Source organism: Homo sapiens, chromosome 9 (assembly GCF_000001405.40).
Source record: "Homo sapiens chromosome 9, GRCh38.p14 Primary Assembly".
In the NCBI taxonomy this organism is placed as follows: Eukaryota; Metazoa; Chordata; class Mammalia; order Primates; family Hominidae; genus Homo; species Homo sapiens.
In genome coordinates, this window is record NC_000009.12 from 84,408,713 (window position 1) to 84,427,197 (window position 18,485).

Genomic DNA, 18,485 nt, shown 5'->3' on the forward strand with positions numbered 1-18,485 from the left:
CGCGGGGCCGGGCTCGGGACCTGCAGCCCGCCATGCCTGAGCCTCCCCCCACCCCCGTCGTGGGCTCCTGTGCCGCCGGAGTCTCCCTGACGAGCGCCACCCCCTGCTCCATGGCGTCCAGTCCCATCTACCGCCCAAGGGCTGAGGAGTGCGGGTGCAAGGCACAGGACTGGCAGGCAGCTCCACCTGCCGCCCCGTGCAGGACCCACTGGGTGAAGCCAGCTGGGCTCCTGAGTCTAGTGGGGACTTGGAGAACCTTTACGTCTAGCTAAGGGATTGTGAATACACCAATCAGCACTCTGTGTCTAGCTCAAGGTTTGTAAATGCACCAATCCGCACCCCGTGTCTAACTCCAGGTTTGTAAATGCACGAATTAGTGCTCTGTGTCTAGCCGATCTGGTGGGGACTTGGAGAATCTTTATGTCTAGCTAAGGGATTGTAAATGCACCAATCAGCACCCTGTCAAAACGGACCAATCAGCTCTCTGTAAAAGAGACCAATCGGCTCTCTGTAAAATGGACCAATCAGCAGGATGTGGGTGGGGCTGGATAAGAGAATAAATGCAGGCTGCCGGAGCCAGCAGCGGCAACTTCCTGGAGTCCTGTTTGACAGGGTGGGAGTTTTGTTCTTTTGCCCTTTGCAGTAAATCTTGCTGCTACTAACTCTTTGGGACCAATCAGCTCTCTGTAAAACAGACCAATCAGTTCTCTGTAAAATGGACCAATCAGCAGGATGTGGGTGGGGCCAGATAAGAGAATAAAAGCAGGCTGCCCGAGCCCGCAGCGGCAACTCGCTGGAGTCCTGTTTCACAGGGTGGGGGTTTTGTTCTTTTGCCCTTTGCAGTAAATCTTGCTGCTACTAACTCTTTGGGTCCACGCTGCCTTTGTGAGCTTTAACACTCACCACGAAGGTCTGCAGCTTCACTCCTGAAGCCAGCGAGACCACGAACCCACACTGAAGGAAGGAAACTCGGAACACATCCGAACATCAGAAGGAACAAACTCGACACGTTGCCTTTAAGAACTGTGACACTCACCGCGAGGGTCGGCGTCTCCATTCTTGAAGTCAGTGAGACCAAGAACCCACCAACCAATTCCGGACACAATCTCAGCACTGTGGGAGACTGAGGTGGGTGAATCAATTGAGGTCAGGAATTCGAGACCAGCCAGGCCAACATGGTTAAACCTCGTCTCTACTAAAAACCCAAAAATTAGTCCGGGGTTGGGGTGCAGGCCTGTAATTCCAGCTACTGGAGAGGCTGAGGCAGGAGAATCGCTTGAACCAGGGGGTCAGAGGTTGCAGTGAGCCGTGATTGCACCACTGCACTCCAATCTGGGCGACAAGAGGGAGACTCCGTCTCAAAAAAAAAAACTAATTGCCATGTGGTCGGGGTGGTGGTTTTCTTTTTTTTTTTTAGAAGAGTTTTTAGCTGGTTGAGGTAGTTCACATCGGTAATCCGAGTATTTTGGGAGGCTAAGTGAGTGGATGGCCTGTGCTCAGGAATTTGAGACCAGCCTGGGCAACATGGTGAAAACCTGTCTCTACTAAAAGTACAAATATTAGCTGGGCGCCATGACACATGCCTGTAGTTCCAGCTACTCAGGGAAGCTGAGGCAGGAAGAGCACTTGAGCTGGGGAGACAGAGGCTATAGGGAGCCAAGATCGTGCCACTGTACTCCAGCCTGGGCGACGGTGCCAGACCCTGTCTTAAAAAAATAAATACAATAAATGAAAACGGGATTTTGTGAGATTGTGATGGGTGGTAAGGCAGTGCAAAACAATATTACGTGCATTTGGGAGAATAGCCTTGATTTTGCTGAAAATCTGGATGACTGATAATGAAATAGGAAGGAACAGCAATATTTGAGCAAAAAAATCTTCAGAAGAAATATCTTCTTTTTGATTCGTAAGAATTTATAAGCATTTTTCATAGACAACTTCGACTTGTGTTGAATGTTCAACTAACTTAGACCAGAAGGACAGTTAAAAAAAAATTTTTTTTAAAGAAAGACAGCCGGGCGTGGTGGCTCACACCTGTTATCCCAGCAGTTTGGGAGGCTGAGGCAGGCAGATCACCTGAGGTCAGGAGTTCGAGAACAGCCTGGCTAACATGGCAAAACCCTGTTTCTAGTAAGAATACAAAAATTAGCCGGGCCTGATGGCACGCACTTGTAATCCCAGCTACTCAAGAGACTGAGGCCAGAGAATCGCTTGAACCTGGGAGGCAGAGATTGCAGTGAGCCAAGATTGTGCGATTGCACTCCATCCTGGGCAACAGAGTGAGACTCTGTCTTAAAAAATAATAATTTGATTATTGTTACCTATCAAACCTGAGTTTTAAACCTTTTGATTGTGTAAGAAACCTGAAGAGGCCTGAAGAAAAATTTTTCATAGTTCTCTGTTTTCAGGTATAGTGAGTTGATTAGTTAGCATTTTTAGTAAAAATGATCTGTAATACAGATTTTGCCTTTCCCTAAAAAATAAAGTTGCTTTCTAATCAGAAAGGAAGCAGAAAATTTCTGTTGGAACGCTTTTTATTCTGATTGCTATTGGAATTGCGGAGATTTACTGTTCTTGGAATAAGCACATTTACCCAATGAGGGAATAAAATCAACATTATTAATTATTTCAAGACAGAAAACATCTTGAATCATGAAAACTCTTAATTCATGGGTCTTAATCTTTCTCCTGGTTTCTAAGGGCTGATAGCTCATCCTGCAGAATGATGCCCCTGTGCCCTTGGAATGCTCCATAATTAATTAATGTATGCCTGGTGAGGTGATAGGCAGAGCAGGGGTGGGCGTTCATCCCATGCTGGGATTGCTTTGGTGGCTTAAATAGTCAGGGAGGTTTTTTGCTGGAAAGCTCCTTGGAGTGGGGAGGCCCAGAGGCCGAAGGGCAGAGGCTCAAAGTGGTGGTCACGGGTGGGTGGTTGCTGCTTTTGTCTCGGGGTCTTCAGTGTGACAGGGTCTCTCACAAGTGGATCAGATGGTATTTCATAGCCTCTGACTATTCTTTGGATTGTGTAGAATCAGAAACATTTCATAATTTGAGTCCTTGAGAACAGGCCTTTATTTGGGCACAGAAAAATTAGCATGCAGTTGAGAAATAGATTTGAAACACATGAGCGGGACTGCTTCGTTTTGCTTTTCTTCTGGTTCTTGGGCCGCTTCCATTTTAGTTTCAGTAAGTGAGGAATTTCTTAATGAGTTATGTGGTATTTACTGAAGGTTGTAATTCTGGCAAATGCTAAATAGAAAGTTTTTTTTTTTTTCCCCTCTTCCTCTGCCTTCCCTGATCCATAGTCTTATTTGGAGAGTTCTCAAATTGTTTGCCAAAACCAGTGACATAACTGGCTCCTTCCAACAGGCACCTGCCAAACCTGCACAGATTCCTACAGCAGCCAGTTCGCTCTGTCTCGAGGCTTCAGAGGAACACGAACTTCTCTGATGGAAGAGCCTTGTTCTAGAAGGGAGTGAAGCCTAGGTGAGCTAGGTCATTTGGCCTAACTTCTTATCTATAGCAGACTAGTACCTTGATATGTGAGTAGAGGGTAATCTTTCTAAAATACAAAAATGGCTTCATTGTTAAAAATTATAATGCTTACTGAAAAATGTTCTGCAAATATAACAAGAAGAAAGTAAAACACAAAAAAAACAAGCACCCCACTCCCAATTTCACCATCTCTGTGCAGGGTTCTGCAAGGTTTTGCTGTACATGTAGAGGTCATAAAATATATATTTTTTTACTTTTACTTGTTTTGAGACAGGGTCTCACTTTATGGCCCAGGCTGGAGTGCAGTGGCATGATCACGGCTCACTGCAGCCTCGACCTCACAGGCTCAAGCGATCCTCCCACCTCAGCCTCGCAAATAGCTGGGACCACAGGTGCATGCCACCATGCCCAGCTAATTTTTTGTATTTATTTGTAGAGACAGAGTTTCTCCACGTAGCCCAGGATGGTCTGGAACTCTGGATCTCAAGCAATCCTCTCGCCTTGGTGAGCCACCACACCTGGCCAAGGTTGTTAATATTTTAGTCTTTGCTAAAATAGGCCAGATGGTCTCTTGTCACAACTCAGCTCTGCAGCTGTAGCGTGAAAGCAATCATGGACAACATGTAAACAAATAGGCGTGGCTGTGTTTCAATAAAACTTTATTAGGGCTAGATTTTTGTATGCAGGCTATAGTTTGCAGACCCCTGATCTAAAATTACCCTCATTTATATTAGGTGCTCATCATTTCTAAATCTTTTTTCTCTCCTCATGTTTTTGTGGACATACTCATAGAGAAAAAAATAGAGAAATAATTTTATATAAATGAAAGCACTTTTTTTCATAAACCACGAAGGAGACTGAAGCACTTTTATAAAAATGGAAGCTATATTTAAAAATATTTTAAATTCAGTTTTACTGGAATTTAACTGAAGAAAATGAACTGAAATGAGACTGCAGGAACTGCTGAAATTCAGACCCATATTTCTTTACCACTGGTGATAATAGGTCCTAAAATATTTTGATAAAATTAAGAAGAAAAGAGATGATGAAAAGATTAGGGATTGTTTTGCTTGTTAAAATTCTGGTTTTCAATTTTGGATGCAGAAGTTGAATTTGTACTGTGACAAATCAGGAAATATGCATCTTTTCATTTCTCATGCCTCCTCTGAAGTCTCATTACTCATGCGATTGTTTTTAAATGGTCAAGGCTGACTATTTACATTCTCTTCTGTAACCAGAGTTACTTGAGTCCTTTGGTCTTAGATGTTTAAATAGACAGGCAAATGCCCAACACCGATTGTTACAGCAAGGCTTCTCCATTTATTTATTTATTTATTTGAGATGGAGTCTCACTCTGTCACCCAGCTTGGAGTGCAGTGGCATGATCTTGGCTCACTGCAACCTCTACCTCACAGGTTCAAGTAATTCTCCTGTCTCAGCTTCCCGAGCAGCTGGGACTACAGGTGCACTCCACACTCTGCTAATTTTTGTATTTTTAGTAGAGACGTGGTTTCACTGTATTGGCCAAGCTGGTCTTGAACTCCTGACTTCAAGTGATCCACCCGCCCTTGGCCCCCCAAAGTGCTGGGGTTACAGGCGTGAGCCTCCACATCCGGCTGCATTCCTTTGTGTGTGTGTGTGTGTTTGAGACAGAGTCTCGCTCTGTCTCCCAGACTGGAGTGCAGTGGTGTAATCACGGCTCATTGCAGCGTCAGCCCCCCCGGGCTCAGGTGATCCTTGCACCTCCATCTGGTGCAAGGACCACAGGCGTGTGCCACCACACTGAGCTAATTTTTGTATTTTTTGTAGAGAAGGGGTTTCACCATGTTGCTAGGCTGGTCTCAAACTCCTGGGCTCAAGCAATCTACCCACCTCAGCCTTCCAGAATGCTGGTATTATAGGCGTATTATATTCTGATGGAATGGTGCCCGGCCCATTCCGTGTGTGTATGTGTGTTTTCAAATATTGATTCCTCTCTTAATCAGCTGGATTTCATTACCTAGTAACTTTTTCAAGAACAATTTATGGGTGTTTTATTTTGGGATTTTCCTCTTAGCTTTATTCTAGATAAGGAGCACTTGTCTAGTTGTACAATTCCCAGGCCACACTTTCTATCAAGTGTCACATCATTTAACATCACAGTGTCTCCATTCAGTTTTAGACTGATTGGGTTTTGTGGAGCCACTTTGCCATCTCCCCAATAATGTGTGGCTGCTGCGTTTCTTCTGTTCTTTTCTCTTAGGAAAGGTCCATCTTTGAATTCATGCTGGCGGGATTACTTGGCTGTGTATGTTAGAATTGGGGTCGTCTCTTTTCTTAGAACCTCTTTGCCTTTTACCACTGGGTATTGTTTGGGGAAGCCTGAGTACAGGTTTTTTCACCCCTTATGGGTCCCTTCTTTTTCTTCCCGGATGTGGTAAGGAACCTTTCTTCATCGTTGGGATTTAATTTCTTCTTGAGAACGTGTGACATTATTAATCACATTATATCAGTTTATGTTATTCTTTTTTTTTTTTTTTTTTTTTTTTTAGACGGAGTCTTGCTCTGTTGATCTCCACTCACTGCAGCCTCTGTTTCCTGGGTTCAAGCAATTATTTTGCCTTGGCCTCCCAAGTAGCTTGGATCGCAGGCATGCACCACCATGCCCAGCTAATTTTTTTTTTGCTTGTTTTTTTGTATTTTTAGAGGAGACAGGGTTTCCCCATGTTGGCCAGGCTGGTCTCAAACTCCTGCCCTCGGGTGATCTGTCCGCCTTGGCCTCCCAGAGTGCTGGGATTACAGGTGTGAGCCACTGCGCCTGGCCCAGTTTGTGTTATTCTTCACGTTTAGTTCTCCCTTCATGTTACGGGAATCTTCTATTTTGTTCTATCTTCTTATTCCATTTATCAAGTTCTTTATCTTAAGGACACCCATTTTTGTCTTTGTTCCTGTATAATACTCTCAATTGCTTTTATAGCTTTGCTTTCCTTTGCTGTGATAGGCTCAAGCCTTTATTTGTTGTAGGTAATTTTGATTTTGGTTGCTGTCTTCTCCTCACAATTCCTACTCCTTATTTCTATAATGATGCTGTTTTGATCCCTCTGTTTCCTTAGTTTCACCATCCTCCCTTTCATTTCCCTTCATTACTTATTCACTTTGACTTTATTGTTTTATAAAATTCATGTTTTCTTTAAATTCTTTTGTAGTGGGAATCACTTACAGGTAATTAGCCTTCTTTTCCTCTGGTTATATTTTCTTTTCTTTTTTAAAATTAATTTCTTTTTTTTTTAATTTTTTTTTTATTTTTGAGACGTGGTCTCCCGTTGTTGCCCTGGCTGGTTTTGAACTCCTGGGCTGAAGCGATCCTCCCGCCTAGCTTCAGGCGTGAACCATCGCACCCAGCCTATTTTCTCTTCAATTATGTTGTCTGCCTCTCCCTCCCTCCTTCCCTCTATCTCTTTTTCTTGTGTTTTCATGCTGGCTTAGCCCCTGTGCCATTTATTTTTATCTTGATCACGCTTGGCATAAACCACTCTGTCCATTTTTTGGTGAGTATAATATAGTATAAATGAATTCTCTTGAATTTGCTGCCTTTTCTAAGATCTGTCTTTCTCTCTGACTTGCAGTCTGAAGACCGAATATTATTTTCTGTGTATTTTTGTGGCTTGTGTATAACAAGGGGGTGGGGTTGTGTGGCTGGGGGTGGAGGAGAGCTCTGCTGAGGTTCTGTAAAGCCTCCCTTGGAGGCCTTGGCTTGTCCTATGCCAGGATTCTCTCTGCCTAGGAGCGTCCTATTCCCAAGAAGGACAGAAACCCCAAGTGGGTAACGCTTCCCTACTTACCCCTGATGGTGTTCTTGCCTCTCCTGGGGTCCTGCTATTTTATAGTGGCAGCTCAATGCTTCTCCTCTTGAGGATTTCCTCCCTCCCCTCCCCTGGGCTGCTACACCTCCACTCAATTTGCTTCTCTCCAAATTAGGCCGGGTGCAGTGGCTCACGCCTGTAATCCCAGCACTTTGGGAGGCTGAGGCGGGTGGATTGCCTGAGGTCAGGAGTTCGAGACAAGCCTGGCCAACATGGCGAAACCCCATCTCTACTAAAAACACAAAAATTAGCTGGGTGTGGGGGCAAGCGCTTGTAATCCCAGCTACTTGGCAGGCTGAGGCAGGAGAATCACTTGAATCCAGGAGGTGGAGGTTGCAGTCAGCCAAGATCGTGCCACTGAACTCCAGCCTGGGCGACAAGAGCAAAACGTCATCTCAAAACAACAACAACAACAAAAACAAATCAAGTATAAGTGAGAATTTGAGACTTTTGTCTATGGACCTTTTTTCTTTAATAGTTTTATATTGCATATAAAAGATGGGGATTAAGTTAGGAACCTGTAATAGTTTTTGCGATGGAACAAACAACTGCAAACTCTCAGCAGCTTACAACACAAGTTGAGTTTCCTGCTCAGGAGTCTGCAGGTAAGTTCCACTCTGTGGGGTGTAGGCTGGGCTTGGCAGGGCCAGGCTGGACCCAGGCTTCAGATGGGTTCCAGGATGCTCCATGTCTCTGTTCTGGAACCCAGGATGGAAGGGAGTTGTGACCTGCTGGGATCACAGGAGCATGAAAGACCGAGTCCCAACACACAAGCACATTTAAAACCTCTGCGTGCATCAATAGCTTAACTCCAGTGGGAGGTACAGCAGCGTCACATGGCGAGGGACAAGGATGTAAAATCCTAGACATAGTAGGAAGTAAAGAACTAGGAGCATTTTCCAACTGACCCCAGAGACTCCGTAAGTTTTTTGAGAATCTTCTGTTTCTTTCATTTGCAGCCACTTTTGAAATTTAGGGCAGGAAATTATATTACTTTTCCTTGGTTGGAATTTGGATAACATTTTCTTTTGATTTAAAATAAAGTATTTGTTTTAGTAAGAATTAGGAGATTGTCAACCTCTCATCTTTACCCAGAAGTCCTTTTATAGTCTCTGTAGAGGTTTTCTAAGCTTCTTTAGAAAGGAAACTCTGGTTTAAAAACAAAATTACAGATTATAGGAATTTCTTTATTACAAACCAAACCATCTGTTGCTGTAATTGGGACTCTAGTTCTGTGCTTCTTTCTGGGGATGCTCGAGCCCCAGTAAATGGTTTTGGGTCAGGTTTCTCCTGTTTGCTTTGGATGTCTTCTCTGGTTAAACTTTAAACAATCTAAAACATCCTTAAGTGATGTTTTAAAATGAATACTAGACATCTGCATGGCGTAAGTAAATTTGTATTAAAAGGGGGAATAAAGTGAGGCTTTCAAAAATTTTATTTAATAGTAGGTCACGAGAAAGATGATTAAACTTCTGGGTGAACTTGGGTGCATGGATGGATTTGCCAACTGGTGGGCTCTAGTGGTCATCAGCCCCCAGCTGGACTTTTCCATGGGGGGGTGGCCAGGATCTGGGCTGGAGTTGCTGAAGGATCTGGTATCGGGTACAGGAAGTACATGGTGTACACATAATTGATATATTGCATGGCAAAGGAGCACATAGCATGTGCATTGAGGGTCGAGTGTCCTAGAGTGTGAGATTCTTGTTCAGGATCTGTGCAGGGAACAACTCTCTAATCTCCTGCCAAAGGTGAGAGACAGCAGCACCCTGGTGTAATTGAGTAGAAGTATCTAGGCTCTAGCTGCTCCATAGTCAGAGATACGTTGACAATACTAATCCTATTTGTGTTATGAATTCCGTGCTTTTATTTATTTATTTATTTATTTATTTATTTATTTATTTATTTATTTGAGATGGAGTCTTGCTCTGTCGCCCAGGCTGGAGTGCAGTGGCACGATCTCAGCTCACTGCAACCTCTGCCTCCAAGGTTTAAGTGATTCTCCTGTCTCAGCCTCCCGAGTGGCTGGGATTTACAAGTACACGCCTCCATGAACAGCTAATTTTTTGTATTTTAGTAGAGACGGGGTTTCACCATGTTGCCCAGGCTGGTCTGAAACTCCTGAGCTCAGTCAGTCTACCCACCTCGGCCTCCCAAAGTGCTAGGATTACAGGCATGAGCCACTGCACCTGACCGAATTCACAGTTTTTAAAAAATTCCTTGCAGTCAGTGGGATTTCAGAAGAGAACAGAGATGCGTGCATTCATTCCGGCCACCATGTTGAACCAGACCATTCCTTTTATGTTCCTCTTTCCTGTGCTTCCTTTTCTTAGAGTGTCTTTGATCTCTTCTCTGTTTAATCAAACCAGAATAATCTTTCACAGTGCAGTTAAACTATTCCTCTCTCCCATTTACTGCCCACTCCTCATTTACAGAAACTTTGATTCAGCACTGGCTGTGGGCTAGTTAATGTGCTTGGCATTGAGGTGACCCAGATAGAAAGACACACAGCTCCTATTCTTGAGTCTAGATTACTGTTTAGAGGGGAGGCTGTTCAGGGAATGAGCATTTATTAGGCAGTTGGATCATGGAATTAATTGAGGTAAGTGACTGACAGTATGGGAGGATTGCTGCTTTGGTCAGAATGTTTATGTCCCCCCAAAATGCATATGTTGAAACCCTAACCTCCAATGTGATAGTATTGGGAGGTGATTAGGTCATGGGGGTGGAGGCCTCATGCATGGGATAAGTTTCCTTATAAAGAGACCTCAGAGAGCTAGCTTGTTCCTTTCACTGTGTGAGGATACAGTGAGAAGGCACCATCTGTGAACAAGGAAAAGGGCCCTCCTCAGATTCTGAGCATGCCAGCACCCTGATCTGGGACCCCCACCACGGTGAGAAATAAATTTCTAATGTTTAATTTGTTATAGCAGCCTGAACTATCTAACCCATGTCTGCCTGAAAGAGTCACAAAGACTTCCTTGAAGGAGGTGGCATTTGGGTGAACCCTAAGAAGGTGTTTTAAGCAGAGAGACCAGCATGAAATCACAACAGGACTATGAGAGAAAGCATGAACCCTGGTTCATTCCCTAGCTCAGTGTTACACAATGTCAAAGCCATTTCCTTCCTTTGCACTCCCACTGTCATTTTAAAATTTATTACTTTACCATTTCTATGTGTGAAACACAAAGGTTGCCAAGTCCTCTGGTCTCTGTTTCTTTAATATTCAAACACAATCCTCCAAATACATTTTCTAAGATTTTCACATCCCAGAGGCAAAAAAGGGTCCTGTCTGTCTTGTGTGCCCCAAGCGTTGACCCAGTCCAGTCCTTTTTTTTCTTCCTGTCCCACAGCACTCTCTAGAGGATTGCTGTGTTATAGACTTTTACTGAAGGCTTGAGAACAGAGGGGCACATGGCTCAGTCTTCTCTTTTTCTTGGGGCCTCTGCCCGCTGCCACATTGCAGGGGCTCATTCTCCCTTCTGTGTAACTTCTTTCCATTTCTTTTCTTCCCTGAGTTCCAAGTGCCCCCTATCCTTCCTTTTGAGTTTGTGGGGGAAACCAACAAAATTTAATTTCAGTTTTTCTTATTGAAATTGTTTCCACCTGTGGGTTTCTACAGGCTCATTTTCCTCAATTAAGCAAATTTTCCCCACCATCTTTTTGCTGTGGATGTGTCAGCCTTCTCTGCCAAATATAAGCCCCCTGAGGTTGGGGAGCTTGCTTATTTGTGTTTATATAACCAAGCATAATGTTTCACTCATAGTCATGACTCCAATAAATCATTCTCCATGTATTGCTGAAGGCTCAGGGTTTTGCAAAAATCCAATTGCATTTAATTCCCAAATGGCAGTTTCTTCATCCTCCGTGCAAGCCCATTTGATTCTTAAGCTGCTCCTCATTGAGATTCTTCCAGTCAAAGACAAATGATGGTGGTAAATACAGCAGGAGACCTGAGACTTCATCTGCTGGAGCCCTGGGCTTCCTTTTCCTGTAGCATCCACAATAGTCACAGGAGGCAGTTTGAGCATCTGCCCTCTTCCTACCATCAGGGGTGCATCTGCACTGGGCAAAGAAACTTCACCTATCAAGGGCCCCCGCAGAGGTCAAGAGTCTCAAGTGAGATGGTGTTGAAGTTTTGTGTGCATGTGAGTGAGGCAGTGGTAAAGGGGTGGTCACTGGTATGGATGCCCTTTTCCTCAGGGACTGAAAGATTATGGGACCTTCACCTCTGCTCTGTTTCTGTGTGATATTTCGTTCTTACAAGAGGCTGGAGGGATTTTAAATTTTCCTTTCACTATTCATTGATCAGTGGCACCAGTATTCGATCTGGCCAGTTCTACAAAGGATCCTTTGGTTGACTGGGGTTGGCTGGTGGCTCTTCTCATGAAGAGTACTAATGATAGTTTCTGGTTGTAAGTCCTGACAAGTTTCATGGTGGGTGGAGTGGTCTCCTTAACCGTATTTGTTATTGGTGGGTTTTCTTTTTTTTTTTTTTTAATTTTATTATTATTATACTTCAAGTTTTAGGGTACATGTGCACAACGTGCAGGTTAGTTACATATGTATACATGTGCCATGCTGGTGTGCTGCACCCATTAACTCATCATTTAGCATTAGGCATATCTCCTAATGCTATCCCTCCGCCCTACCCCCTCCCCACAACAGTCCCCAGAGTGTGATGTTCCCCTTCCTGTGTCCATGTGTTCTCATTGTTCAATTCCCATCTATGAGTGAGAACATGGGGTGTTTGGTCTTTTGTCCTTGAGATAGTTTACTGAGAATGATGATTTCCAATTTCATCCATGTCCCTACAAAGGACATGAACTCATTTTTTATGGCTGCATAGTATTCCATGGTGTATATGTGCCACATTTTCTTAATCCAGTCTATCATGGTTGGACATTTGGGTTGGTTCCAAGTCTTAGCTATTGTGAATAGTGCAGCAATAAACATATGTGTGCATGTGTCTTTATAGCAGCATGATTTATAGTCCTTTGGGTATATACCCAGTAATGGGATGGCTGGGTCAAATGGTATTTCTAGTTCTAAATCCCTGAGGAATCGCCACACTGACTTCCACAATGGTTGAACTAGTTTACAGTCCTATTGGTGGGTTTTCAAATCAATAATCGCCCATCCAAATGACATGGTAATAATGATTACTTGTAGGTATTTTTCTGTTGAAGATAAAGTTTTATATTGTCCTTTCCCTTCAGATTAGCTGCTGTATGCATTTTGAAGAAAATAACTCTTAGAAATAGAAAACTTGATAAAATTCTTGAATCACAAGCAGTATGACAATTCTGAGATATTTTCTTTCATTCCTATAGGATATATTTTAACTTCCTAGAAGGGGTTTAGATTTCTAAAGTCTATAAATTTTTTCTTCTTCAGAGGCTAGAAAAATACAACTTCTGTTTGCACAGCCATATGTTACCTAGATTTTTGAGGGCAAGCTGGAGATATGCTTGGTACATAGGCATTCTTGTGGGAAGTGATCCCCATGCCTGACTGTGTGTTCCCACTGTTCTTTGGACTGAGGAAGTTGATTTGAATTTCCCAGATGTGCTCAACTCTTGTAATCATCTGATGGGTTCGTCCTGACAGGTGCACAGACAAAACCAATTCACTGAGACTGTGGTAGTGAAGTAAAGAAGAGATTAATTGACATTGAAGTTGACCATGTGGAAAACTGGCATTATCACTCAAATCAGTCTCCCTGAAGGATTGAAAGTTAGGATTTTTCAGGGATGATTTGGTGGGCATGGGACTAGGGAATGGGTGCTGCTGATTGGCTGGGGAATGCAATCATAGGGGTGTGGAAAATGGCCCTTGTGCACTGAGGTTGCCTTGGGGTGGTTGGGGGGTGGGTACCACAGGACCCGTTGAGTCATGAATCATGAATCCAGGTTGGGTCAGTCTGAAAATATCTCAAAAGACCAATCGTAGGTTCTACAATAGTGATGTTATCTATAGGAGCAACTGGGGAAGTCAAAAATTTTGTGACCTCTGGCCACATGACTCCTGAGCAGTAAGGAATTATCAAAACTATGCCTACATTTTAGCAAAAAACATTTTCTTATGTTTTTTCATTAGTCTTACAAGGACAATTTCACTCCCCAACACAGAAGGAATCAGTTTTAGGGAGGGGCTATTATCATCCTTTCTTCAAAGTTAAACTATTAACTAAATTCCTCCCTGACTTACAGCCAGGAATGAGAAGCCAGGCATCCTGTGAGGCTAGAGGCAATATGGAGGAAGCCATGCTAGGCTTCTCTCACTGTCTTAATCTTTGCAAAAGCAGTTTCATGCTGGTGGGAGAAAACAGGTTTCTGGTTGAATTGGCACCTTTTCTCAACTGAGTGAATGAAGTCTTCTCAATGTTGGCTTCCAGTCAAGTAATGAGGCAATTTATTCAAATAGTAAGCCAGCTTGAAAGTGGAAGAAATGATGTTAAATTATAGCAATATCTACACAACTTAAAATTTCCCTTTCATGAAATATTAGCAGGTATATAAAATTTACTATGGAGTAACTGGGAGATTCCCCTTCTCATGAGTTCTTTGTTTTGAGATAAATAACAGCAGTAGGAATAGAGAAGGTAGGAAGGTTGGTATATCAGTCAGGCCTCGGCTCATGCAGTTTTTGGGGCTGGCAAGTTCAAAATCTGAAATTTCGGCCTGGCGCAGTGACTCACTCCTGTAATCCCAGCATCTTGGGAAGCTGAGGCAGGAGGATCACTTGAGGTCAGGAGTTCAAGACCAGCCTGGCCAACATGGTGAAACCTCATCTTTACCCAAAATACAAAAAATTAGCCAGGCATGGTGGCACTCGCCTGTAGTCCCAGCTACTCGGAAGGCTGAGGCAGGAATCGCTTAAACCTGGGAGGCGGAGGTTGCAGTGAGCTAAGATAATATCACTGCACTCCAGCCTAGGTGACAAAGTGAGACTCTGTCTAAAAAAAAAAAAAACCTGAAATTTATAGGACAGGCCAGTAGGTCAGAAGCTCAGGCAGAAATTCATGCTGTAGTCTTAAGGCAGAATTTCTTCTTCTGGGAAACCTTACTTTTTGCTCTTAAGGACTTCCTTGATTAGATGAGGCCCACCCACATCATTGAGGGTAATCTTTACTTAAAGTCAACTGATTGCAGAGGTTAACATCTACAAAACAATCTATTAATTATGACAACACCTAGGTTAGTGTTTGATTGAATAACTGGGTACTACTGCCTCACCAAGCTACACATTAGGGGGAGCATCACAGCAGATAAAGCTAGAGTTTTTGCAGGAGACAGAAGGAAATGGAAAGGGGAGTCTGATCCCTGAGGTGGACTATCAAGATATGGTGAGGAGGCAGGAGGGGAATTGAGTATATTGACATTGGACCGATACTTCTGAGACTGGAGAGAAATGAAAAAAAATCTACTCATCTGGATGCATAAATCAATTAATGTTATCTGTTAAATCTATTAAATTAATTAATTGTTTTCTATTAAAAAAATCCATGCATTTCTAAGACCAAGGCAGGTAGCTCTTTGGGGGACTGGGATGGCCACAGCTCTGAGCTGTAAAATCTGAATGTTTTTGGGAGGCTGAGGTGGGCCGATCACATGAGGTCAGGAGTTTGAGACCAGCCTGGCCAACATGGTGAAACCCTATCTCTACTAAAAATACAAAATTAGCCAGGTGTGGTGGCACATGCCTGTAATCCCAGCTACTCAGGAGGCTGAGGCAGGAGAATTGCTTGAACCTGGGAGGCAGAGGTTGCAGCGAGCTATCTTGCCACTGTACTCCAGCCTGGCGGACAGAGTGAGACTGTCTCAAAAAAAAAAAAAAAAAAATCTGAATGGTAAAAATGTACTGGGCTGGAAAACTGAAGACAGGAAAAACTTTCTTAGCCTATAGCCTATAGCTGCCTCTTAGCCTTAGCCTGTGCTTGTTCCAAACAAGCACAGTGAATCTTATTGAAACTTGAAGAAAGGAGAACTTAATAAATATCAATGGATCCAAGAGATAGGGAATGAAGATTAATTGTAGAGAGGCCGTTATTGTTAATTCAAGACATGTAAAAATGTTATTGACTACAATGTGCTGGCTAGCTTTATCATTGTAGATTAGTACACTTAAAAATATTTATAAAAGATTCACTCAGGACCATATTCCCTCAATCTTGATTTTCTCAAAAGGTCTTACTGTTCTACAGCTAGGAATTGTCCTACCCGGAAGATTTTTCAGGAATCCAACAATCTAATTTGGGAGGGATTCTGCTATTAGTTCCTACATGTAAAAGCTGAAGCATTAAATTCCTCATTGTCTGTATGATAGAGTATGTCTAATGGAATAGTGGGAAAGATTTATGGTTCAATTATTAATGTGTTAGCAGTGTTGATACATTTAACAAAACTCATTTCCCTTCAATAAAAGCCATTAGCTCTTTCTAAACTAAGCGCATCAACTTTGGTAGTTTAAGTAGATGTATTCAGTAGTTGCATAATGTTGACATTTAGTGTCCTATTTAGTGTCACTCCAACTACTGCACATGTGGTTTTCTTGTCCAGTTAAAAGGAGAAAAAGACAGTGTTTTCTTCATCTTCTTTTATAATACTGCCTGAAAATGGCCTTTTAAAGTCAGAAAACATCACTTACTTGGCTGTAGATAGTCACCAAGGCTTCAGTTTTTGTAGTTGTAATGAGCGTCAAATACTGATGGGGCCTAGTAAAACCTTGCAGGCCGCCTTGTAAAACTGCCTGGATTTCTGTTTGGATACAGAGTGGTATTGTTTCAGAAGCGTATGTGCTTTTCATAAACTTTTTTTCTGGTTAAAAATTTAAAAGGGAGCTACTTGTCATGTCTTGAGCATTAACTGAAGCTATAGTAGGCCTATACAACAATCATTTAGATGCTATTAAAAGTATATGAATAATAAAACAGCTAGAGTAAGAAAAGGTTTAAAAGAGTAACTTGGCCTTGGTAGAGGCCTCTTTGCAGAAGAGCTGCTTAGCAGGTTGTTTGGTTGTATTCTGGCTGTCGTAGGCAATTAAATGTTATTTGACATAGGCAATTAAATGTTATTTGACAATCAGGGAACTTGTACCCCTGCTTTTGGGTCTTAGTAGTAAAGGCTCTGGAACATTTCCTGGGTTGTAAATGGCAACAGAGCATAATGCAATAATATTCCTAAGAAATCACCTTGGGCTACTTAGTTTATATGAGATATTTATGAGGGCGCAAGTTTTATGAAGTTGTTTTATTGGTAAAAGTCAAAGGCACTAATAGCCCAGGGCCATGTAAGGAATTATGTGGGGTGTGGTGGAACAACTCTGGGTTTTTGGTGCAAAACAATCCCAGATCTGAACCTAAGTTCTGCTATTTAAGAGCTTTGCAATCTAGGACAAATTATTTAAGTTCTCTGAGTCTTAAATCCTGCTTTTATAAAATGGGTTTAGTACTAATAGCTATTGTGAAAATTTACTGAGAGAATTACTGAAGATAACGTGTATAAGGTACAGAGCACATCTCTGGTAACATATTTGGTGCCTAAGAATGTTAGTTCCTTTTTCTCCTTGTTATTTGAAGATTATTAGTGATTTTTTTTTTTTTGAGACAGGGTCTTGCTGTGTTGCCCAGGCTGGAGGGCAGTGGTGTGATTCCCGCTCACTGCAGCCTTGACTCCACAGGCTCAAGCGATTCTCCTACCTAGGCCTTCCTGGTAGCTGGGATCACAGGTGGATGCCACCACACATGGCTAATTTTTTGTAGAGATGGGGTCTTGCCATGTTGGCCAGGCTGGTCTTGAACTCCTGGGCTCAAGTGATCCACCCGCCTCAGCCTCCCAAAATGCTGAGATTACAGATGTGAGCCACTGCACCTGGCCGGTTATTAATGATCTAATATGATGTGATAGTATTACTGTTTAGTGGAAATCTTTTGTTTTTTTTTTTTTATAGCTGTGAAACAGCACAATAAATGGTCATAGTGTGAATACTGTGTAATGACCACTCAGATAAAGACACAGATCTGGCTGGGCATGGTGGCCCATGCCTGTAATCCCAGCACTTTGGGAATCTGAGGCAGGCTGGTCACTTGAGGTCAGGAGTTCAAGACCAGCCTGGCCAACATGGTAAAAATCCCGTCTCTACTAAAATTACAAAAATTACCCGGGAGTGGTGGTCTATGCCTGTAATCCCAGTTACTCGGGAAGCTGAGACAGGAGAATTGCTTGAACTTGGGAGGTGGAGGTTGCAGTAAGCTGAGATAGTCCGACTGCACTCCAGCCTGGGCAACAGAGTGAGACTGTCTCAAAAAAAGAAAAAAAGACACAGATCTCCATGAGTACCCCCAAATGCCCCCAACATTATCCCTTTCTTCTTCCCCAAAATAGTCATAATCCGACTTCTCACACCATTAATGAGTTTTGTCTGTTTTTAATCTTATGTAAATTGAAATACACTATTTTTATGACTGGCTTCTTTTACTCAACAGTTTTTATAAGATTCATCCATATTGTTGCCTATAGCAGTACTTCATTCACATTTCTGCATTGAATTTCATTATATGAGTATTATTTGTTCGTCTATTATTGATGGATATTTTGGAAGTTTCTGGTCTTGCCTAATAAAAATAGTGCCGTGGGCCAGGCATGACATTGTGCACCTGTAGTCCCAGCTAGTCAGGAGGTTGAGGCAAGAGGATCTCTTGAGCCCAGCATTTTGAGGCTATAGTGTGCCATAATCACACATGTGAATAGCCCTTACACTCCAGCCTGGGCAACATAGTGAGACCCTGTCTCTGGAAAACAGTAGTGCTGCTATGAAAACATCTCTTTCCATGAATACATACATGTATTTCTGTTAGAGATATACCTTGTAGTGGAATTGCTGACTTATAGGGAAGGCATGTGCTCAACTTTATTTTACATTGATTGATTTATTGTGCTGAATTTGAGTAGGGACTTCTAAACAGTTTTCCAAAGTGGTTGTACCAGGTAGTAGACAAACTTTGTATCGAGAGTTCTAGTCATACTTTGTGCCACACTTGGTATAGTCAGTCTTTTTAATTTTAGATAGGCAGGTAGTGGTATCTCATTGTGATTTTGAACACTTTGCCCTAATGTGATCTGAAATCTTGATTGTAAGAAATGGACCCTA

The 18,485-nt window shown here is 42.6% G+C and overlaps 1 long non-coding RNA gene across 11 annotated transcripts in view; it reads left to right on the forward strand.

Moving 5' to 3' along the window:
• Positions 1–1,088: 1,088 nt before the first annotated feature.
• LOC102724036 (uncharacterized) overlaps positions 1,089–18,485 on the forward strand; it is a 247,231-nt gene continuing 229,834 nt past the window's right edge. For all 11 annotated transcript variants that reach the window (XR_007061623.1, XR_007061626.1, XR_007061624.1 and 8 more), the window contains exons 1-2: positions 1,089–1,128; positions 3,370–3,486. This is a non-coding gene — a long non-coding RNA (uncharacterized LOC102724036). The remainder of the gene's footprint in view (positions 1,129–3,369; positions 3,487–18,485) is intronic.